The 19,776-nt window shown below is 37.4% G+C and overlaps 1 protein-coding gene and 1 long non-coding RNA gene across 11 annotated transcripts in view, besides 1 other annotated feature; one reads left to right on the top strand and one right to left on the bottom strand.

Moving 5' to 3' along the window:
* The window catches only part of BCAS3 (BCAS3 microtubule associated cell migration factor), a 714,981-nt gene that overhangs the window by 264,965 nt on the left and 430,240 nt on the right, over positions 1-19,776 (bottom strand). The gene's annotated exons all lie outside the window — the stretch shown is intronic.
* BCAS3-AS1 (BCAS3 antisense RNA 1) overlaps positions 1-19,776 on the top strand; it is a 101,500-nt gene that overhangs the window by 8,146 nt on the left and 73,578 nt on the right. The window contains exon 2 of one of the 3 annotated variants that reach the window (NR_186507.1): positions 10,442-11,289. The exons of the other annotated variants lie outside the window; for them this stretch is intronic. This is a non-coding gene — a long non-coding RNA (BCAS3 antisense RNA 1). The remainder of the gene's footprint in view (positions 1-10,441; positions 11,290-19,776) is intronic. 3 annotated transcript variants of the gene reach the window in all.
* Positions 4,596-4,774: a silencer, noted in NCBI's record as "fragment chr17:59200454-59200632 (GRCh37/hg19 assembly coordinates)". NCBI's record gives its function as "represses an EF-1alpha promoter that drives an FKBP-Casp9 reporter gene in an ReSE screen in phorbol 12-myristate 13-acetate-treated (for megakaryocytic differentiation) K562 erythroleukemia cells {active_cell/tissue: K562(+PMA)}" and the evidence as "EXISTENCE:reporter gene assay evidence [ECO:0000049][PMID:32094911]".

Raw genomic sequence — 19,776 nt, 5'->3', positions numbered from 1 at the left:
ATATGTATTATTTTTTTTTATATCACCCAACTAACTTTGTAGCCCCCTTCCTCCCTATTCCACTCCCCCAAAAACAGAAAAACAGGATATAGAGGATCTGAGGAGTAATTTTCAAGCATACAGTTTACCAATGATGACAGACATTATTGAAGTTTGGTAATATTTCCTTCTTTCCCACCTCTGGGCATACAAGATAGCTGTACTTCCCCATCCTCTTAAAGTTCTAGCCTGGTAGTCTGCAACAGAACTTTCTACGATGATAAAAATGTTCTAAACCTTGTACTGTCTAATATGATAATGTGGCTAGTGCAACTGAGAAAATGAATTATACATTTTATCTTCATTATTTTAAATCTAAATTTAAAAAAATACAGCTAGTGGCTATTGTATTGGACAGCACAATTATAGCTCATGAGTTGTAAGCAGAAGTGACCACCATGAGATGTCCAGTGTCCCCTTATCCCTGCTCACTCACACATCACATCAGTAATATAAAACCCTCACTTACACGAGAAAACACTCTTATATTTATAAACCTAATGGTTACCTAGAATAACTCAGTGGTGAAGCCTTCGCTAACCTGGCTCCTTGAATGGAGATAACATGGAATAGAGACCCCTCAATCTGCGACGGACAATATTCAGCAATAATTTAGCCAGAAAAGTCACTAAATGTACAAGAAAGAAAATAGAGAAGTACTGATACTTGCGAAGACCAAATATTACCCATGAAAATGTCAAGAAGCTCCTACTGCATGTGTGTAGCTGGTAGTGAAGTGGAAGAGATGCAGCTGCTGAGATGTATCCTTTTTTTTCTCTCTTTTTTCTTTTGTTTATGTTTCGAGATGTATCCTAATTTAAATGCAATCTAAAACTTAAGTGCCTGTGACGAAGGGTGTATAACCTTGGGCGTTCTACTACCCGCTTGGAAAAATAACCCAGAAAGAAATCTTAACACATTTTGTATTCTTGTTACCATGTAAGACATTCCTGTATTCAAAGTAGTAATGATACGGTTGTAATATTTTTCCCACAAAGAAAAATCCCCTAGTCGTGAAAGAGTTAAGAGAGACCAAAATTAGACACAGTTCATGTTAAAGGTTACAAGAATAATCAGTCATTTGAAAAACACTACATAAACATTTTTCCGGATGCAATTTTCAGTCCAAGGATACATTTCCCAGTAGAAATCAGCAGCTAAAAAGGAAATCATTTCGTCTCCATAAGTGCCAAATTGTATCCTGATTTTTCCTGGTCTGGCTCAACTTTCAAAACTAGTGGTTCAACTTCTGCAATCTTTCACCCAATGACTATATAAACACATCTTTATAAAACAGACATAATCCTTGGGTGGGCCAATTTATGTTGGATTATGAAAATACTTAAAATACAAAATCATATAATGACTATTGTCCTTCGGTTTTTCACTAAAAGGAAAGAAAAACCTATTTAACATAGGCAGTGGTTCACGTGCGATAACATGACACATATACACTGCTCTTTTTTTCTAATGTCTCTGAAAATAAGTATCACTGACAATTCAGTAAAGGATTGCCTCACATTTTCTCAAGGTGATATGTAAATTCAGAATTTGCAAATATACTTCTGATGTACCCACATGCCACAACGCACACACAATTCTAATGAATTAAACTGCTCACAACGGGCAAGGAAAAATTCTCACCCTTGGAAGTATTTTGGATCTTCTGTATTCGGTCAGAGGTTATAGAAACATTAGTTTTAAGGATAAAGTAATCTTAAGTAAAAAGCAAAAGATTCATTCACAATTTATTACTGCTTCCAATTCACATACATTTCACATTACTCAGAATTCCCAATAACACAATTCAAGTAGAATCTCAACTCCATAGCTAGAAGAAATCGTAAATTTTAAATCTTTGTGGAAAGGTAAACTCTGTTTTTTCACTTCTTCCTTGAAATTCTACAGCTTTTATAAGTCAACTACAAAAGGTATCATGAAAAGCCTATCTTCAGCATTTAGCATGAGGAGGGGAAGAATTTTAACTTTTCCTCTAATGGATAAAGTTACGTAAAAGAAGACATTTTGGAAGTCTTTGGAGAATGCAGTATAAATCATAGCTGTAAGATCTGGAAAAGTCTGGTTGAACATTAAGAGATTTCCACATCTGTATCTATACATTCCCATCTTGGGAATAGTGTATGTCCAAAACCATTCACAGAAAAATGTTGTAAAGTACTCTGTTGGTGAGCAAAACTTAAGAGTTGCAATCACAAACATTTCATTTTCATCATAGATTATTGATAATTACACAATCAAATATCCATAAAATTATATTGATAAAAATTTTTTTTGTCAATATTCTAAAAGCCATAACAAAGCAATGAATTTAAAATAGCTTATTTCTAGGAACTTTTTATAGTTTATAGCATAACTCTATGAATAATTTTCTGATGCCTAGATTAGTCCTTCATCCTTGCTCTGAGAAAACAAATATGTCATTGAAGCAATATGACCACACTATAAGAAAGGACACAGAATAATGCACATTTTCTTTCACAGGCTGAGAGAGGCTGATGAATGTTACACTTCTCTAATTCACAAAATTTATCTGAATACAAGGACATATTAGGAAAGCATTTTCGTGTTCAAGTGAGTAGCTCTGCCCAAACCAGTATGAAGTATTTAATTAAATATTTTCGTTTAGCTATAATGGCAACATAAAACTTTTAAGTATTTGCCAAAATTAGAAAATCTCTAGTTCTTCTGAAAAATATACACATACCTAGACATTCAAAACTAAAAATTAAAGGTTGATTATTTAAATCTATCTTTTTAGTTCAAATATTTTGCATTCCTTTCTGATTTAAAACACTCTCCTATGAAAGCCACCATTATTTATAAGTGAAGAAAGAAAAGGGAATTTGTCTTACATCTCCCCACTCCTCACTTTGCCATTGTCACCTGTATCTATTTCCAGGAAGCCAATATTCATTAGGGTTAATCTGCCTACTAAATGAATAAACAAAGGATTTCTCTGTCACTAAGAGGCCAGGTGAGCCGATAGCATCTTCTAACACAGAAAATCATCTGTACCATACAGCTCAGGAAATTACCTGCTGCAATCCCACACCTGGGATCACTTGGCAGGCAGACCCATAATGCTGAGTAATATATGGAAAATGAACTATAACCATTTTTTCAAAGGGCTGACAAATCTCTCATATTTCAAAACTGAAAAACAGTTTAATATGATTAACTACATAACTCACTAGGGAAAAATAGTGAAAAAATATCAAGAAATGCTTCCACATTTTTCCCCTAAACAATAACAGGGTATGTAAGAAATGATGCCAAAATACTAACATGCAGTGAAATATGAATAACTGGTACAAGAATGCCAATACTTCTATGGATCTCTACGATCTTAAAAATAAGAACAGTTCTACAATAGAATGTAGTTAACAAACTAAATAAAAAGATGCATTGTTATATTATAATCCCTACTTTTATAGACTGACAAATTCAGATCAAGTAAAAGCTATATCTTGGTGGCTCGAGATACCAGGAAAAGAACCCAAGGGCAATTATTTGTTAATAGATTAATGGTATTATCACTTCATGTTTCATTTTGTGGAGGAGAATCCCAGGTTTTATTGTCCTGTAGAAATAATTTTTCCAGCTAAAGAAGCCAATAGGAAACCATTGGTGTTAAATAAACAAACACAAAATGAGTAAAAGAAATGAGATCAAAGATATCTGACTTCCCTCCAAATGTTAAATAATAAAAACATATATATGTATATATATATATCTCTCTCCTAGATACAAGTTTGAAATAACATTTGATAGCTGAAAACCATGTAGTATAAGCACATAAAAGAACTGATTTGATTAGAACTGGTTTGAAGATCAATTTGATTAGACACATGAGACTATGGCAACAAAACTCATTCACAAAACATGAAAACAAATAGTGATTAGTGGTCATTCTTCTCTCAAAATTATGTTCAGTTCTACAGAAGGTCTTGGGTGTCACAGAGAATGAAATAAAACTAAATATGTCAGCATATATGCCAATGAGAATCAACCAATATGCACAGGATTTATTTCTTTATTCAACTTTTAATAATATGTTTGCAGAGAAAAAGGAGCCAAACTATTAATACTGGGCAGATTACGGATCACTTTACAGAGGCACTACAAGTAGAGAATTAAAAGACTTAGGTCTTCTGGGACTGAGTACCCCCACTCCCCCCCAATAAAAATTAAAATAGGAAAAAAAAAAGACTTAGAAAAAGGGTTAGTCAACATTTAATGACTGCCCACTCCATGTAAGGCCCCATACCAAATAGGGCTGGGTTTGCTCAAGGGTGATAAAAAACAGATAGGGTCTTTGTCTATAGTATATATTATCATTATTATTTTTGAAAATCCTTTCTTAGCTTCACAGGGGTTCCCTGGTTGTTTTTATACTGAATATGTCCGAGTTATATCAAATACTACAAAACTATTGAGAGGTGTGTCCATCTGGGGGAACAGCGATATTGGCAGGGAAGCAGTGGAGGTGTGGGGCACCAGGTCACATATATGCTGCACCTAAGGAAATGTAGTGTAGAGAGAAATTAAAGAAGACTTACCCAGTGGCTGGGTGTGGTGGATCATGCCTGTAATCCTAGCACCTTGGGAGGCCAAGGTGGGTGGGTCACCTAAGGTCAGGAGTTGGAGACCAGCCTAGCCAACACAGTGAAACCCCGTCTCTACCAAAAGTACAAAAAATCAGTTGGACATGGTGGTGGGCGCCTGTAGTCCCAGCTACTTGGGAGGCTGAAGCAGGAGAATCACTTAAACCAGGGAGGAGGAGGTTGCAGTGAGCCAAGATCGCACCATTGCACTCCAGCCTGGGCAACAAAAGCAAAACTCCATCTCAAAAAAAAAAAAAAAAGACTTACCCATAATGTGGAATCTTTCACAGTCTTTATCTCTTGGGTCAAGTTTTCTGAGATAAGCCATTTAAACATAAATCAAAGTAAATGCAAACTGTATGTGAATTCCAATAGCCATCAGCTTACATTGCTGTATTGACAACAGATGCTAAATATATGAACATCATATATACATATTCTTGAATTTATTTTTGCTGAGATGGTTTTTTGTTTTGTTTTGTTTTTTGTCTATGTGGGAAAATTCAGCATGTGAGTTTAAGGAAATGTATATGATTTCCCTTTCAAGATCCTACAAAAACATATGGGAGCAAGATAATGTTTGTTCTGACCTGCCAAAATCCTGTGGAGATCATCTCGAATCCACATCACATTCCTGAGTACTAATGCTCACACGGGGCTTTTGCATTAGCAGATGTGTGAAAATGCATGTACTCAGAGAATTCCCTCATGGCTTCCTATCTAAAGAAGCTCCTCTACAACAGCTCTTCCAGCCAAATGCTGAAATGACATCTCCAAGTTCAGTATACCTTCATTTAAGCCAGTGTCTGGATGGAAAAAATTCAACTGAAAGGTTTGTTATCTGGCTCAAAACCAAGGGCAGCCTGAGTGAATGTGAGACAGATTTTCAGAAGGCCTCCTATATTCTACTTCTAATCCTCAAGTCATATCAGAGACTCTAGTAAATTTTTACTTATTCACATCACAATTTCTAGCAATCAGATTTCACCATTTCAAATGCGTCACTGGAAGATGCATGTGTATGATTTTAGTTGTGATTAAAACTGGGGGAAGGGAGACTGTTCAATACTCTTCCTATTTCAGCTGTGGCAAGACTATGCTGAAAATATTAAGAAAATCAATCTATCTTTGCATACTTTCTCTTAAATTTTCTTTTGTAAAAATCATATGTTTTTGGCCGGGCACAGTGGCTCACGCCTGTAATCCCAGCATTTTGGGAGGATGAGGCGGGTGGATCACGATGTCAGGAGTTCAAGACCAGCCTGACCAAGATGTTGAAACCCCGTCTCTACTAAAAATCCAAAAATTAGCCAGGCGTGGTGGCAGGCGCCTGTAATCCCAGCCACTTGGGAGGCTGAGGCAGAGAACTGCTTGAACCCGGGAGGCGGAAATTGCAGTGAGCTGAGATCATGCCACTGCACTCCAGCCTGGGTGACACGGCAAGACTCCGTCTCACACACACACACATATAAAATAGATGTTTTTGAGCCTTATAATAACACAGGCTCACCAAAGAAAACTTTGGAAAAACTTTAAAGAAGAAAATTAAAACTGTTCATAATCCTATCACTTGGAGGTTAAACACTATTTACAATTTGATCTGTTTCCTTCGTGTCATCCATGAATGAATACCATAAAGTTGTATAAATCCACAACTGCATAATTTTTCATAATACTTTTTGCACAGTTTTGTACTCTTCTAAGTTCATTAAAATGCAAAGCAGTGGTTACAATCTTAAATAGACAAAAGCATTAAAGAAGGGGGAAAAGAGGACACCTAGAAATGTTAACAGGTATATTTTATTCTACGATGATACTCTAACAATTATGACTATCTATATATCAAATAATACAATGTTGACATCATATAGCAAAACTATAGAATATAAGGAAAAATACAGAAAAATATTATTAGCATGAGATTTTAACTTCATGATTTTTAACTCCATAACAGCTGATATATCTATATATCTACATCTCTAGCTCTCTCTCTCAGAAAGCATGTAACGTAACCAATGAGGTAAATCTAACTGTTGAAATTGCAACTCTGTATGCTGAAAAGAGAAAATAAACCCCTTTTTTTCAAGTGCCCATGAAACCTTTACAAAAATCATGAAATATTTTTGCTAAAATATAAAATTTGATCAAACCAATCTCCCAGATCTAATAAACAATTTATAGGAAATTTTAGGAACAAAAGGACACCAAGAGATCAACAGAATTCAGTCTGTGGGAAATGCTATAAGATAAATGTCCCGGTTTCCTTAATAAATAAACTATAAAGTAGTAAAAACAAGGAGATGGAGGATAAACTTACATATTAAAAGAGTCTTATGAAATATATCAACCAATTGCAATGTATAAGTCTTATGTGAAACATGATTTTAAAAATGAGATAGAGAAATTTAACATGAACTGGAGATTTGATATCACATTATTATTGTTAATCTTCTCAGGCATGATAATACTTTGTTTTTTAAAAAAAAGTCCTTATTTTTAGAGATATGTACTAAAATATTTACAAATGAAGTATCATGACATCTGGATTTGCTTCAAAATAATATGGTAGAGTAGCGGGGTAGCATATAAAACTAGTTTGGTGATGGGTTGCTAAGTGTCAAAACTACCTGATTTTCAGGGATACATCAGGCTATTCACTCTATATCTGCATATATTTGAAATGTTTCATAATAAGGAGTTAAAGGGAAAAGCGAGCATGAATGTGTATATGCACACACACATTAAAAACTGCTCATAGCAAATATAGTTATTCTTTTGAGGAGGTGTTTTAAGGGAAAGGAAAGATATGGGTTTGTAGCTGATATCGCATTTACAACAGAACACCATTTATTCATTTTTATTTAAATTTCTCCTTTGTGTAGACAGATGTCACATAATGTTAGCAATTGTTGAATCCAGTGAAAATGTTTATATAATCACTGTACTATATTTAAAATTTTCTGTAAGTTTGAAATTTTTCACAATAAAATGTTGTGAAATTCCTACTTATTGTCAAGTTAAAAAGTTATCTTAGCAATTCTTGCCTGTATACTTTCAGATACACTAAAGAATAATTTTATCAATATTGTAAATCCACTGGCATTTTGACTGGGATTGCATAAAAGTTCTGAATTAATTTCAAAATACCTTCAATTGTTAAAATAATCAGTCTCCTTATTCAGAACATGATATATTGTTAATTCATGTAAATAATTTTTTAATCACTCTGTAGAATTTCATAGTTTTCTTTACATAGGTTCTATATCTTTCTTCTTAGGGTTATTCCTAAGTATTTTATATTTTCTGGTACTATCAGGAGTGAAATATTCTAAAGAATTCAACCGTCTAATTAGCTTTCACTTGTTTATAGAAATAGTATGAATGTTTTACATATTTACCAAGTGTCTGATCTGTTGATAAGTTCAAAGATAATGCTCTTGAATTTTCTAAGTGAAAAAATTATATTGTCTGTAAATGGTGATTTTGTAGTTACAGCTCTTCTTTTTTTATATATATATATTACTGCCTTGTCTGGAATATCTACATCTAGAGTAATTGTATAATGGTTTTAGTATGATTGCCTCTTTCATGATTTTAGGAGGAATGCCAAGAGTATTTCATATTAAATATGATGTCGGTTTTTGGTTTAAGATAGCTATTATTTATTATTTAAAGAAGACATCTTTCTATTTCTAGTTATCTCAGAATAAATCTCATAAATAAATGCTGAATTTTATCAAATGCCCTTTCAGCATCTAATGACACTATCATGTTTTCTTCGTGGACCAACAAATACTATACATTACAATAATATATTTTATAATATGGGATAAATCACATTTGGTCATGGTAGGTGATTCTTTTACTGTAACATTCAATTTGGTTTGTTGGTATTTTATTTGCTATTTCTGAATCTAAATTCATATGTAAGATTGCTACATAGCTCTCTTTTATGTATGTTATGTTTGTTAGGTTTTAGTCATTCATTTTTAAAAGCCTCTCTGAGAGGGGATTAGAAAAACCCTGTCCTCAATAGGTGTTAAAAAGTTCCTCAATGCTAATGCTATTTATTATGAAGTAGGAAAAGGCAAGAGGCCACAGCCTGCAAGCACAAAGGTGAGATAATGGCTTCCGCATCACTTAACTGTCAGCCTTGCTTAGTGTGAAGTGTTGTGTCTAGAGACTCCCAACCAACCATCCATTTAAAAATATATAGAATATTAAAGTAATTGACAAACACAGAAACTGTCAACGTTTTGGAAGATAATTTAAAAAGCAAAATGCATTTTGGGGGTAGTGTTAGTATGCAATAAGAAACAAAAAAAAAACCAGATTAGGCAAAAAACAATATCTATTTCAAATATCAGCACCAGAATCCTGCGAAGTTAGTCCCCATATTGGTAAAGGTTATTGAACATTTCTACACCTCAAGGTCTGTCTATGCTTTTGTCACAACAAAAGGCTGCTCTCTCTTGCCAAAAAAAACAGGAATGTGTAGCCTAGCAAGACAGAAACTTTTAGACAATAATTGCTTCTCTCTACCCAAACGCCACACAAAAACTTGCAGCACCCCCACCACCCACAGTGGGAAAGGCCAAGTAGGGAGCCCAGACTCCACCCTTGAGAGGCTATGACAAGGTGCCCAACACCTCCACAGGGGTGGTGTTGGAGAAGGCTAAGTACAGTCAGGACTTTCATCCCTATCTGCTGTTAACAAGAACCACCTCCTAACACACACGTGCAGTTTTGGTGCAGGACAAATGGGGAGTCTGGATTTTCACCCCTGCTTGGCAGTAAGGAGGCACCACTCCTTCTCTCCACTGGGGTGCTTATGAAAGAGGTCTAGGGGAGAATCCCTTTTTGGACTTTGACTGTATCATCCAGCACTAATGCACTGTCATTGGAGACTACGTTGGGAGCCGGGACTTCCATCTCTCCCAAGTAGTAACCTGATTGGGTGGTAACAGTAGTGTGGTAAGGAACCTGGGCTTCTACCTCCACCTGGCAGAAACGAGGTAGAACATCCTACTTCCCCTGCCATTGTGATACCAGAGAAAGCCCCTTAAAACCGAAGGTTTAAGTACAATTCATATCATAGGGAAATGCCCAGCTTTCAACTGAAAATGATTCAACATACTTCCAGCCAGCAAGATATCATAACAAATGAAAAAAAGACAATCAATAGATATCAACACCAAGATGACAGAGATCCTAAAATTATCTGACAAAGACTTTCAAAGCAGCCATGATAAAAATGTTTCAATGAGTAATTATGAACATGCTAGAAACACATAAAAAATGAAAATGAAAGAAATGTAAACTTTGGGTAATAATAATATATCACTTGTCAATGTAGGTTCATCAGTTATAGCAAATATACTACTCTGGTGGGGGATCTTGATAACAGGCGAGGCTATGCATGTAGGGGGTGGCAGGGAGTATATGGAAATCTCCCCACCTTCTGCTTAATTTTGCTGGGAACCTAACTAAAATTGCTCTAAAAAACCCCAAAGCCTCATCAAAGAAATAGAAAGTCTTAGCAAACAAGTAAAAGATATAAAAAAGAATGAAGTGGAATTTTTATTTACTTATTTACTTATTCATTTTTGAGACAGGGGCTTGCTGTGTCACTCAAGCTGGATTGCAGTGGTGTGATCATAGCTCACTACAGCCTCAAACTCTGGGCTCAAGCAATTCTCCTTCCCTCGGCCTCCCTAGTAGTTGGGTCTACAGGTGCAAGCCACTGCACCCAGCTAATTTTTAATTTTTTCTTGTAGACACAGGGCCTTGCTTTGTTGCCCCAGCTGGTCTCCAACTCCTGGCTTCAAGCAATTCTCCTGCCTCAGACTTCCAGAGTGCTTGGATTACAAGTGTGAGCCATCATACCTGGCCTCAAAAGAAAATTTTAGAACTGAAAAATACAATAACTAAAATAAAAAGCTAAGTGGATGCGTTCAGTAACAGAATGAAGAGGCACAGAAAGAATTAGTAAACTGTAACATGGAGCAATAGAAATTACCCAGTCTGAATAACAGGGGCTCAGGGATCTGTGAGATTATAATGAAATATGTAGCATTTCTATCCCTTTAAGCCCGAAAGGAGTGGAGAAAGGGTGTGGGTTGGCAAAGTATTTGAAAAATAATGCTTGAATAATATCCACACTTTTAAGAGACATAAATTGACACATTAAAGAAGCTAAATCCTGAACTTCAAACAGGAAACTTCCAAAGAAGCCCACTAGAAGACACATCATAGGTAAACTTCTGAAAATGAAAGACAAAGAAAAAATCTTGAAAGCAGTGAGAGAAAAATGGCACTTTACCTATATGGGAAAAAAACTTCAATTAACATCACATTTGTCATCAGAAAACACGGAGGCTCAAAGAAAGTAACACAATATTTTTTTCTGAGTACAAAGGAAAAGAACTATGAACCTTGAATCCTATACCCAGCCATAATATCACTCAGTAATAAAGGGGAAATCAAACCATTTTCACATGAAGGAAGACTAAGAATTTGTTGCCAGTGGACTTACTCTAAAAGAATGACTAAAGGAAGATCTCTTAACAAAGGGAAAACAAATGAAGAAGTAACTGTGGAACAGTAGGAAGGAAGAAAAAACATAGTAAGCAAAAACATGGTTAAATACTATAAGCTTTTCTTCTCCTCCTAAGTTTTCTAAATTATGTGTGAGAGTTGAGGCAAAAACAACACTCTTTGATGTGGTTCTAAATGCATGTAAGAGAATGTTTAAGATAATTATATTATAAATCAGGATGGTAAAGGGACATAAACGGAAGAAGGGCTACACTCAAATTGGTGAAATAGTGATACCAGTAGACTGTGATAAGTTAGGTATACATAATGCAATATACATATATTGGCCACTAATAAAGATACATAAAGGATCATAATTTTTATTTTATTTTATTTATTTATTTATTTATTTATTTATTTTTTTATTATACTTTAAGTTTTAGGGTACATGCGCACATTGTGCAGGTTAGTTACATATGTATACATGTGCCATGCTGGTGCGCTGCACCCACTAACTCGTTATCTAGCATTAGGTATATCTCCCAATGCTATCCCTCCCCCCTCCCCCTACCCTACCACAGTCCCCAGAGTGTGATATTCCCCTTCCTGTGTCCATGTGATCTCATTGTTCAATTCCCACCTATGAGTGAGAATATGCGGTGTTTGGTTTTTTGTTCTTGCGATAGTTTACTGAGAATGATGATTTCCAATTTCATCCATGTCCCTACAAAGGACATGAACTCATCATTTGTTATGGCTGCATAGTATTCCATGGTGTATATGTGCCACATTTTCTTAATCCGGTCTATCATTGTTGGACATTTGGGTTGGTTCCAAGTCTTTGCTATTGTGAATAATGCCGCAATAAACATACGTGTGCATGTGTCTTTATAGCAGCATGATTTATAGTGCTTTGGGTATATACCCAGTAATGGGATGGCTGGGTCAAATGGTATTTCTAGTTCTAGATCCCTGAGGAATCGCCACACTGACTTCCACAATGGTTGAACTAGTTTACAGTCCCATCAACAGTGTAAAAGTGTTCCTGTTTCTCCACATCCTCTCCAGCACCTGCTGTTTCCTGACTTTTTAATGATTGCCATTCTAACTGGTGTGAGATGGTATCTCATTGTGGTTTTGACTTGCATTTCTCTGATGGCCAGTGATGATGAGCATTTTTTCATGTGTTTTTTGGCTGCATAAATGTCTTCTTTTGAGAAGTGTCTGTTCATGTCCTTTGCCCACTTTTTGATGGGGTTGTTTGTTTTTTTCTTGTAAATTTGTTTGAGTTCATTGTAGATTCTGGGTATTAGCCCTTTGTCAGATGAGTAGGTTGCAAAAATTTTCTCCAATTTTGTAGGTTGCCTGTTGACTCTGATGGTAGTTTCTTTTGCTGTGCAGAAGCTCTTTAGTTTAATTAGATTCCATTTGTCAATTTTGTCTTTTGTTGCCATTGCTTTTGGTGTTTTGGACATGAAGTCTTTGCCCATGCCTATGTCCTGAATGGTAATGCCTAGGTTTTCTTCTAGGGTTTTTATGGTTTTAGGTCTAACGTTTAAGTCTTTAATCCATCTTGAATTGATTTTTGTATAAGGTGTAAGGAAGGGATCCAGTTTCAGCTTTCTACATATGGCTAGCCAGTTTTCCCAGCACCATTTATTAAATAGGGAATCCTTTCCCCATTGCTTGTTTTTCTCAGATTTGTCAAAGATCAGATAGTTGTAGATATGAGGCGTTATTTCTGAGGGCTCTGTTCTGTTCCATTGATCTATATCTTTGTTTTGGTACCAGTACCATGCTGTTTTGGTTACTGTAGCCTTGTAGTATAGTTTGAAGTCAGGTAGTGTGATGCCTCCAGCTTTGTTCTTTTGGCTTAGGATTGCCTTGGCGATGCGGGCTCTTTTTTGGTTCCATATGAACTTTAAAGTAGTTTTTTCCAATTCTGTGAAGAAAGTCATTGGTAGCTTTATGGGGATAGCATTGAATCTGTAAATTACCTTGGGCAGTATGGCCATTTTCACGATATTGATTCTTCCTACCCATGAGCATGGAATGTTCTTCCATTTGTTTGTATCCTCTTTTATTTCCTCGAGCAGTGGTTTGTAGTTCTCCTTGAAGAGGTCCTTCACATCCCTTGTAAGTTGTATTCCTAGGTATTTTATTCTCTTTGAAGCAATTGTGAATGGGAGTTCACTCATGATTTGGCTCTCTGTTTGTCTGTTGTTGGTGTATAAGAATGCTTGTGATTTTGGTACATTGATTTTGTATCCTGAGACTTTGCTGAAGTTGCTTATCAGCTTAAGGAGATTTTGGGCTGAGACAATGGGGTTTTCTAGATATACAATCATGTCATCTGCAAACACGGACAATTTGACTTCCTCTTTTCCTAATTGGATACCCTTTATTTCCTTCTCCTGCCTAATTGCCCTGGCCAGAACTTCCAACACTATGTTGAATAGGAGTGGTGAGAGAGGGCATCCCTGTCTTGTGCCAGTTTTCAAAGGGAATGCTTCCAGTTTTTGCCCATTCAGTATGATATTGGCTGTGGGTTTGTCATAGATAGCTCTTATTATTTTGAAATACATCCCATCAATACCTAATTTCTTGAGAGTTTTTAGCATGAAGGGTTGTTGAATTCTGTCAAAGGCCTTTTCTGCATCTATTGAGATAATCATGTGGTTTTTGTCTTTGGCTCTGTTTATATGCTGGATTACATTTATTGATTTGCGTATATTGAACCAGCCTTGCATCCCAGGGATGAAGCCCACTTGATCATGGTGGATAAGCTTTTTGATGTGCTGCTGGATTCGGTTTGCCAGTATTTTATTGAGGATTTTTGCATCAATGTTCATCAAGGATATTGGTCTAAAATCCTCTTTTTTGGTTGTGTCTCTGCCCGGCTTTGGTATCAGAATGACACTGGCCTCATAAAATGAGTTAGGGAGGATTCCCTCTTTTTCTATTGATTGGAATAGTTTCAGAAGGAATGGTACCAGTTCTTCCTTGTACCTCTGGTAGAATTCGGCTGTGAATCCATCTGGTCCTGGACTCTTTTTTGTTGGTAAACTATTGATTATTGCCACAATTTCAGCTCCTGTTATTGGTCTATTCAGAGATTCAACTTCTTCCTGGTTTAGTCTTGGGAGAGTGTATGTGTCGAGGAATTTATCCATTTCTTCTAGATTTTCTAGTTTATTTGCGTAGAGGTGTTTGTAGTATTCTCTGATGGTAGTTTGTATTTCTGTGGGATCGGTGGTGATATCCCCTTTATCATTTTTTATTGTGTCTATTTGATTCTTCTCTCTTTTTTTCTTTATTAGTCTTGCTAGCGGTCTATCAATTTTGTTGATCCTTTCAAAAAACCAGCTCCTGGATTCATTAATTTTTTGAAGGGTTTTTTGTGTCTCTATTTCCTTCAGTTCTGCTCTGATTTTAGTTATTTCTTGCCTTCTGCTAGCTTTTGAATGTGTTTGCTCTTGCTTTTCTAGTTCTTTTCATTGTGATGTTAGGGTGTCAATTTTGGATCTTTCCTGCTTTCTCTTGTGGGCATTTAGTGCTATAAATTTCCCTCTACACACTGCTTTGAATGCGTCCCAGAGATTCTGGTATGTTGTTTCTTTGTTCTCGTTGGTTTCAAAGAACATCTTTATTTCTGCCTTCATTTCGTTATGTATCCAGTAGTCATTCAGGAGCAGGTTGTTCAGTTTCCATGTAGTTGAGCGGTTTTGAGTGAGATTCTTAATCCTGAGTTCTAGTTTGATTGCACTGTGGTCTGAGAGATAGTTTGCTATAATCTCTGTTCTTTTACATTTGCTGAGGAGAGCTTTACTTCCAAGTATGTGGTCAATTTTGGAATAGGTGTGGTGTGATGCTGAAAAAAATGTATATTCTGTTGATTTCGGGTGGAGAGTTCTGTAGATGTCTATTAGGTCCGCTTGGTGCAGAGCTGAGTTCAATTCCTGGGTATCCTTGTTGACTTTCTGTCTCGTTGATCTGTCTAATGTTGACAGTGGGGTGTTAAAGTCTCCCATTATTAATGCGTGGGAGTCTAAGTCTCTTTGTAGGTCACTCAGGACTTGCTTTATGAATCTGGGTGCTCCTGTATTGGGTGCATATATATTTAGGATAGTTAGCTCTTCTTGTTGAATTGATCCCTTTACCATTATGTAATGGCCTTCTTTGTCTCTTTTGATCTTTGTTGGTTTAAAGTCTGTTTTATCAGAGACTAGGATTGCAATCCCTGCCTTTTTTTGTTTTCCATTTGCTTGGTAGATCTTCCTCCATCCTTTTATTTTGAGCCTATGTGTGTCTCTGCACGTGAGATGGGTTTCCTGAATACAGCACACTGATGGGTCTTGACTCTTTATCCAATTTGCCAGTCTGTGTCTTTTAATTGGAGAATTTAGTCCATTTACATTTAAAGTTAATATTGTTATGTGTGAATTTGATCCTGTCATTATGACGTTAGCTGGTGATTTTGCTCGTTAGTTGATGCAGTTTCTTCCTAGTCTCGATGGTCTTTACATTTTGGCATGATTTTGCAGCAGCTGGTACTGGTTGTTCCTTTCCATGTTTAGCGCTTCCTTCAGGAGCTCTTTTAGGGCAGGCCTGGTGGTGACAAAATCTCTCAGCATTTGCTTGTCTGTAAAGGATTTTATTTCTCCTTCACTTATGAAGCTTAGTTTGGCTGGATATGAAATTCTGGGTTGAAAATTCTTTTCTTTAAGAATGTTGAATATTGGCACCCACTCTCTTCTGGCTTGTAGGGTTTCTGCCGAGAGATCCGCTGTTAGTCTGATGGGCTTCCCTTTGAGGGTAACCTGACCTTTCTCTCTGGCTGCCCTTAACATTTTTTCCTTCATTTCAACTTTGGTGAATCTGACAATTATGTGTCTTGGAGTTGCTCTTCTCGAGGAGTATCTTTGTGGTGTTCTCTGTATTTCCTGAATCTGAACGTTGGCCTGCCTTGCTAGATTGGGGAAGTTCTCCTGGATAATATCCTGCAGAGTGTTTTCCAACTTGGTTCCATTCTCCCCATCACTTTCAGGTACACCGATCAGACGTAGATTTGGTCTTTTCACATAGTCCCATATTTCTTGGAGGCTTTGCTCATTTCTTTTTATTCTTTTTTCTCTAAACTTCCCTTCTCGCTTCATTTCATTCATTTCATCTTCCGTCGCTGATACCCTTTCTTCCAGTTGATCGCATTGGCTCCTGAGGCTTCTGCATTCTTCACGTAGTTCTCGAGCCTTGGTTTTCAGCTCCATCAGCTCCTTTAAGCACTTCTCTGTATTGGTTATTCTAGTTATACATTCTTCTAAATTTTTTTCAAAGTTTTCAACTTCTTTGCCTGTGGTTTGAATGTCCTCCCGTAGCTCAGAGTAATTCGATCGTCTGAAGCCTTCTTCTCTCAGCTTGTCAAAGTCATTCTCCATCCACCTTTGTTCCGTTGCTGGTGAGGAACTGCGTTCCTTTGGAGGAGGAGAGACGCTCTGCGTTTTAGAGTTTCCAGTTTTTCTGTTCTGTTTTTTCCCCATCTTTGTGGTTTTATCTACTTTTGGTCTTTGATGATGGTGATGTACAGATGGGTTTTCGGTGTGGATGTCCTTTCTGTTTGTTAGTTTTCCTTCTAACAGACAGGACCCTCAGCTGCAGGTCTGTTGGAATACCCTGCTGTGTGAGGTGTCAGTGTGCCCCTGCTGGGGGGTGCCTCCCAGTTAGGCTGCTGAGGGGTCAGGGACCCACTTGAGGAGGCAGTCTGCCCGTTTTCAGATCTCCAGCTGCGTGCTGGGAGAACCACTGCTCTCTACAAAGCTGTCAGACAGGGACATTTAAGTCTGCAGAGGTTACTGCTGTCTTTTTGTTTGTCTGTGCCCTGCCCCCAGAGGTGGAGCCTACAGAGGCAGGCAGGCCTCCTTGAGCTGTGGTGGGCTCCACCCAGTTGGAGCTTCCCGGCTGCTTTGTTTACCTAAGCAAGCCTGGGCAATGGCGGGCGCCCCTCCCCCAGCCTCGCTGCCGCCTTGCAGTTTGATCTCAGACTGCTGTGCTAGCAATCAGCGAGACTCCGTGGGCGTAGGACCCTCCCAGCCAGGTGCGGGATATAATCTCGTGGTGCGCCGTTTTTTAAGCCGGTCCGAAAAGCGCAATATTCAGGTGGGAGTGACCCAATTATCCAGGTGCGTCCGTCACCCCTTTCTTTGACTCGGAAAGGGAACTCCCTGACCCCTTGCGCTTCCCAAGTGAGGCAATGCCTCGCCCTGCTTCGGCTTGCGCACGGTGCGCGCACCCACTGACCTGCGCCCACTGTCTGGCACTCCCTAGTGAGATGAACCCGGTACCTCAGATGGAAATGCAGAAATCACCCATCTTCTGCGTCGCTCACGCTGGGAGCTGTATACTGGAGCTGTTCCTATTCGGCCATCTTGGCTCCTCCCCCCATAATTTTTAAAACTATACATAAAAACTCTTCAACAAATGGTGCTAGGATAATTGGCAAGCCACATGTAGAAGAATGAAACTGCATGCTCTTCTCTCACCTTATATTTAATACAAAAATCAACTCAAGATGGATTAAAGACTTAAATCTAAGACCTGAAACCATAAAGATTCTAGAAGATAACATCAGAAGAAACCCTTCTAGACATTGGCTTAGGCAAATACTTCATGACCAAGAACCCAAGAGCAAATGCAACAAAAACAAAGATAAATAGATGGGAATTAATTAAACTAAAAAGCTTCTGCACAGCAAAAGAAATAATTAGCCAAGTTAACATACAACCCACAGAGTGGGAGAAAATCTTCACAATCTATACATCTGACAAAGGACTAATTTCCAGAATCTACAAAGAACTCCAACAAATCAGCAAAACAAACCCAAACAATCACATCAAAAAGTGGGTTAAGGATGTGAAAAGACAATTCTCAAAAGAAGATATACAAATGGCCAACAAGCATATGGAAAAATGCTCAACATCACTATGGAAACGCAAATCAAAACCACAGTGCAATACCACCTCACTCCTGCAAGAATGGCCATAATCAAAAAATTAAAAAATAATAGATGTTGGCATGGATGCAGTGAAAAGGGAACTTTTACACTGTTGGTGGGAATGTAAGCTTGTACAACCAGTATGGAAAACAGTGTGGCAATTCCTTAAAGAACTAAAAGTACATCTACCATTTGTTCCAGCAATCCCACTACTAGGAATCTACCAAGAGGAAAAGAAGTCATTATGTAAAAAAGATACTTGCACACACGTTTATAGCACCACAATTTGCGATTGCAAAAACATGGAACCAAACCAAATTCCCATTAATCAGCGAGTAGATAAAGAAAATGTGGCGTGTATACACACACACACACACACACACACACACACACAAATGGAATACTACTCGGCCGTAACAAGGAATGAAATAATGGCATTTGCAGCAACCTGGATGGAACTGGGGACTATTATTCTTTTTTTTTTTTTTTTTTTGAGACAAAGTCTCACCCTGTCATGAGGCTGGAGTGCAGTGGTGTGATCTCAGCTCACTGCAACCTCCGCCTCCTGGTTTCAAGTGATTCTCATGCCTCAGCCTCCTGAGTAGCTGGGATTACAGGCATGTACTACCACGCCCAGCTCATTTTTGTATTTTTAGTAGAGACAGGGTTTCACCATGTTGGCCAGGATGGTCTTGATCTCTTGACCTCGTGATCCGCCCACCTCAGCCACCTAAAGTGCCGGGATTACAGGCATGAGCCGCCGTGCCCAGCTGGAGAGTATTATTCTAAGTGAAGTAACTCAGGAATGGAAAACCAAACATCATATGTTCTCACTCATAAGTGGGAGCTAAGCTAAGAGGACGCCAAGGCATAAGAATGATACATTTGACTATCAGGACTCAGGGGAAAGAGTGAGGGGTGGCAAAGGATAAAATATGACACATTGGATACAGTGTACACTGCTCGGGTGATGGGTGCACCAAAAATCTCAGAAATCACCACCAAAGAACTTATTCATGTAACCAAACACCACCTGTTCCCCAAAAGCCTATTGAAATTAAAAAAAAAAAAAACCACTATAGACAAATCAAGATAGAATTTTAGAAAATGTTCCATAACCTACAGGAAGGCAGGCAAAAAAGAAAAACCAAATCGAGCCTAAACAAACAAAAAAACAGAGAAAGAAAAAGCAGAGATCAAATAGAAAATAAAAAATAAAATGGCAGACTTAAGCCCTGACAGATAAATAATTATATTCAATGTAAATGGTCTACAAACACTAATTAAAAGACAGATATTGGAAGAATGGACTAAAACACATGACTCAACTATATGTTTTTTACAGGAAATTCATTTAAAACATATCAAATATAATGATACAGACACACTGAAACTAAAATGTTAGAAAAAGATATATCACGTAAAAGTTACAGGAAGGAAAGTGGGGGTGGCTACCTTAATACAAGATAAAGTAGACTTTAGAGAAAAGAAAATTACCAGATAAGAGAAAGACATTATATAATGATAAAAAGTTACACAAAGAAAACACAGCAACCCGAGATGCGCATGCACTAAAAACAGAGCTAC

Source organism: Homo sapiens, chromosome 17 (genome assembly GCF_000001405.40).
Source record: "Homo sapiens chromosome 17, GRCh38.p14 Primary Assembly".
NCBI lineage: Eukaryota > Metazoa > Chordata > Mammalia > Primates > Hominidae > Homo > Homo sapiens.
Note: the sequence above shows the minus strand (reverse complement) of the source record. Positions and strands in the feature narration are given on the sequence as shown.